General features: G+C 43.8%; 1 pseudogene; it reads right to left on the bottom strand.

Moving 5' to 3' along the window:
* XPOTP2 (XPOT pseudogene 2) lies at window positions 1-4,198 on the bottom strand (annotated as a pseudogene).

Below are 4,533 nucleotides of genomic sequence, written 5' to 3'. Positions count from 1 at the left end.
AGATTTCACTATGTAAAATTTATTTATATATATATATTTTAAAAAGTATAACACTGGAGCCTAAAACCATTCTCTTTTGTAGAATACATATTGGCATTGAAACAGTTTAAAGAAATGAAATGGCTATCTACAAAAAGTTAGTTTTGATTGTTGTATTCCCCCCATACTTTATGTGTCTTCACACATAAAGAAAATTTTCAAACATTTTATATTCAGCAATTTTTTAAAAAGTGTACTGTTTTCTACTGCTATAGTCTTTATAAAGGACTTGACTTAAAACTTCAAATAAAAAAGAATTAAGGTTCTAGGATAACTCTGTGTCTTTTAAGAGCATCTTTATACAGAACAATTTGGACCGGCATGCAGGCAACATCTTTTGTTGTTACATACCTGTATTAGGAAAATTACACCCATTTCACATAAAAATCCCAAAACATATACTGCAATAAGCTCAAAACAATGTGAAAAAGACCAGTGTGAATGGCACACACAAATCGCTTCTTTATAAATTAACTGGAATTCCTGATCATGAAGTAGGCACAGGGAAATCCAGTCAATAGGGCTTTGCTCTCTGGAAGAACACCTTTAAGTAATTTTTTAAAACTTTAGCATCAGGCTGCTGAAGCGCTTGACAAAACTCCTGAATTATTTCTGGAGCTACTTGCAAGGAGGGCAGGTATTCTTGTTGAAGATACTGAACACATTCTGGGCCCCATTTGAGATGAATTGTTTTCAGTGTCACTGCACACTCAGATAAAGCCAATACTGTTTGTGCATCTGCCAGGTCAAAGGTTTGTTTTAAAGGTGCTAGGAAACATGAGGGGACAATGTGCTTATAAACAAAATCAGCAAATCCCACTGGTCCATCTTTACCTCTCCAGAGTTCCACCAACTTTGAGAGGATGATAAAACATGTTTTCTGTGCAATTGGATCTGGATATTCAACTGCTCCTTGGGTAACAGTAACCAGCACTCTACATTTTGTGCAGCTTGATTTGCTATAACTTCACTCATCCCACTGCCTGTGACTGTTTGCAGGAAAGCAAAGTAACTCCTCCACAACATCTGCTTCTCTAAAGCAGCAGACTAGTCATTTTCTTCCGCTGGCTGGAGCAGCACTTCAAAAATTGCATGAAGCAGGGGCATGAACATCTGTTGTAAAAACGGAGATACCTGTCTCTTGAATTTGGCCGTAATCTGGTTGATAAGAAGAATGAACTCCTGGAGGTCTTCTGCTTCACAATCTTTGAGCATACGTTCTGAAGCAGCTGGGATGAACGGAAAAACTTCTTCCCCCAGGCAAATAACCATTCGATGAAGGAAAGTACGGACTCCACTTCTGAGAATATCCTTTTGTAAGGGACAACTGAGGGCTGGCAGGAATGTCTGTAAACAGTCCAGACAAACTTCAGAACAGCCACATTGTTTTATAGTCTGCTTGTTGCTGAAAGCTTTACTGGTTGGACTTGCAAATCCAACAGCATGGTTGAGACAGTCTGCTAGAGAGGCTTGCCTATCTTCATCTTGTGCCAGCATCAACTATTCTAACAGAATTTTAAACTTCTCCATTAGTGGAGTCAACAGATTCCTCACCAAGGCTTGTTTCCTTTCTGCCAGGTATTCACTATTAACAGTCAGCACTCCAGCTGTCTCATAAATAAAAAGTTGATCATCGCTGCCCAGTAAAGACTGGTGGCCATTCTCAGGTGGAGAAAGCTCTAATAAATCTTGTATTCTATTCAAAATATCCTCAGTGAGAGGATTCATTTGCTTATTGAGAGATTTGACAAATCTAGAAAACAGGTAAGCCATCCTGCTCCGAACTTTTGCACTGGAATGCCGCAGACTTCTGTGATCTAAGAAAGCCATTAGTACACGTGGAATGTGCTGAGGTTCAACTGTGAAAAACTTTTCATATCTAACAACATTTTTGAAGAACTCCAACGTCACAGATGTATGCTGATAGGAACTGACTCTTGATGTTACCAGAATTCTCATCATATCCTGCAAAGCACTGGCTTTTGAAACATCACCTGCAAATGGAACACCGTGAGATACTAGAAGAGCTTCTGCCAACATATACAGCAATTTTTTTTTTTTTTTTTTTTTTTTTTTGAGATGGAGTCTCGCTCTGTCTGAGTGCAGTGGCGCGATCTCGGCTCACTGCAAGCTCCACCTCCCGGGTTCACGCCTTTCCTCTGCCTCAGTCTACGGAGTAGCTGGGACTACAGGCACTCGCTACCACGCCCGGCTAATTTTTTGTATTTTTTTAGTAGAGACAGGGTTTCACCGTGTTAGCCAGGATGGTCTCCATCTCCTGACCTCGTGATCCGCCTGCCTCGGGCTCCCAAAGTGCTGGGATTACAGGCATGAGCCACCGCGCCCGGCCATATACAGCAATCTTATTGCTACTTCAACTTCCATAAACCATGTAGTCTGCCAATCCTGCAGTGTAGAACTAAAAACGCTGTGAACAGAGGCCACCAGTAACTCTGGTGAAACTTGAGCAAGCCTGTCCAACAGTAACTTCAGTTGTTTTCTATATTCTACAAACATGGCTTCATCTTCACCCTCATTTTCGAAGTTATATTCTTCATCGTAAGTCAATTTTTTCATAACGGCCAACATGATTGCCTCTACATTAGCTTTTTGCTGATCCAAGAGCACTGTAAGCTGTTTCCAAATATGAAGATAATAATAACAAAATCCTATAATATTAGGAGAAATATCATCTTCCTCATGAATTAGTAGCTGCAACATCAGTGCCACTTTTGTTTCAATAGCTTGTAGTGCCTCTTGAGCATTCTTAATATCCGCATTCTTAATTAATTTACTCCAACTATCAATCAATTACTGTCCCATTCCATTTACCAGCTTAGAAAATCTGGCCAGGAAGTCAACATCTTCTTCCTGGTCAATGCTGAAAGACCCAGCAGACTGTAATCCTTGGCACAAAGATTCTACTAGTTTCATTTTATCGACAGGGTCCATTCCTTTATTTACAACTTCAAATAAACAGTCACATGCTTCTTCCCGTAGAACTCCTATTGACATATGACCTAGCAGCACACTTATAAACCTATCATTGGCTATAAGGGGTAAGTCTATCCAAGAGACGTAAGCCCCAACTACTTCAAAGCACTGACGGTCACTTCAGAATTAGTATACTGATAATTTTGTAATATTTGGTACCATCATTCCACCAGATTTGGAATGCACTGTTCCCTCATGGTATCTTTAATGAGAGTATTCCTACGAGCCTCCTCTGACGTATGCACCACATCACGATCCACCAACTCTGAATCGATAGCCATGAGGATTCGCAGGCACACATCTACTCCCCTTGGATTTAGGTCCACTACTGAGAGAATGTAAACAAAAATACTTGGGCCACTTAGTGAGATATTCTGTAACAAAAAGCAAGGCGAAGACTTGGGCGGCTTTATTTCGTATAAAGGTCTTCTCTGGTTGGGGATTCAGCATCTGAGCTTGCAGCCATGATATGCGCGTCTCCCTAATTAGTTGTTGTTGAACCGTGGTTAGTTCTGAGTATTTGTATTTAACTTAATGTTCCAGCACTTGAAAGCAGAAAAACTTTACATGTTCATCACTATATGTCCTCTGGGCTACAGCCTCTGTGCACACACCTGCCAGGTATCTGGGGAAATCTTTAACCGCTCAAAATAGGCCAGGGCCCTTTGTCTAAAGTCTGAATCAGCATTTGATTTTGGCCCTAATACAGCCTGTTCACCCATCCTTGCTGCCATACTTGGAGTTTTCTGGTTACAATTGGCGTGCCCTCTGATCCCACAGAGGAATTTATAAACATCTTCCCTATCACTCCATCCCGCCTCCCAGCCTGCACTCCAGATGGTCAGACGGCAGAGCGCAGCGGCGCGGCACGCAGAGAGCTGGGAGAGCGGCCCTAGTCGTCGCCGTAGTCCTCCGTCACGGCTGCAGCGCCAACGCCAGAGACGGAGCTGTCCGGGACCGCGCGCCTCTCGTCGCTCCGCGTCCCCTGGCACCTTCTCTTGCATGGCGCCAGGCAGGCAGGCAGGCAGGCAAGCAAGCAAGCGGGCGGGGTCGGCGCCCCAGGAAGGGAAACAGCTCGAGCGCCGGCTAACGCCGCCGCCGTCGCCGCTGTGTCAGCGCCAAGCGCGCTCCCCGCGTCTGTGCCGCGCGGGCGGGCGCCGGCGCCCAAAAAAAAGTTTTTGTTTTTTTTTTACTTACGCCTGTAATCCTAGCAGTTTGGGAGGCCGAGGCAGGCAGATCACCTGAGGTCAGGAGCTCGAGACCAGCCTGGCCAACATGGTGAAACCCTGTCTTTACTAAAAATAGCAAAATTAGCTGGGCATGGTGGTTGGTGTGTGCCTGTAACCATAGCTACCTGGGAGGCTGAGGCAGGACAATCACTGGAACCGGGGAGGCAGAGGCTGCAGTGAGCTGCGACTGTGCCACTGCACTCCAGCCTGGGTGATAGAGCGAGACTCTGTCTCAAAAACAAACAAACAAACAAAAACCTTTGTTGATATA

Source organism: Homo sapiens, chromosome 7, assembly GCF_000001405.40.
Source record: "Homo sapiens chromosome 7, GRCh38.p14 Primary Assembly".
In the NCBI taxonomy this organism is placed as follows: Eukaryota; Metazoa; Chordata; class Mammalia; order Primates; family Hominidae; genus Homo; species Homo sapiens.
Note: the sequence above shows the minus strand (reverse complement) of the source record. Positions and strands in the feature narration are given on the sequence as shown.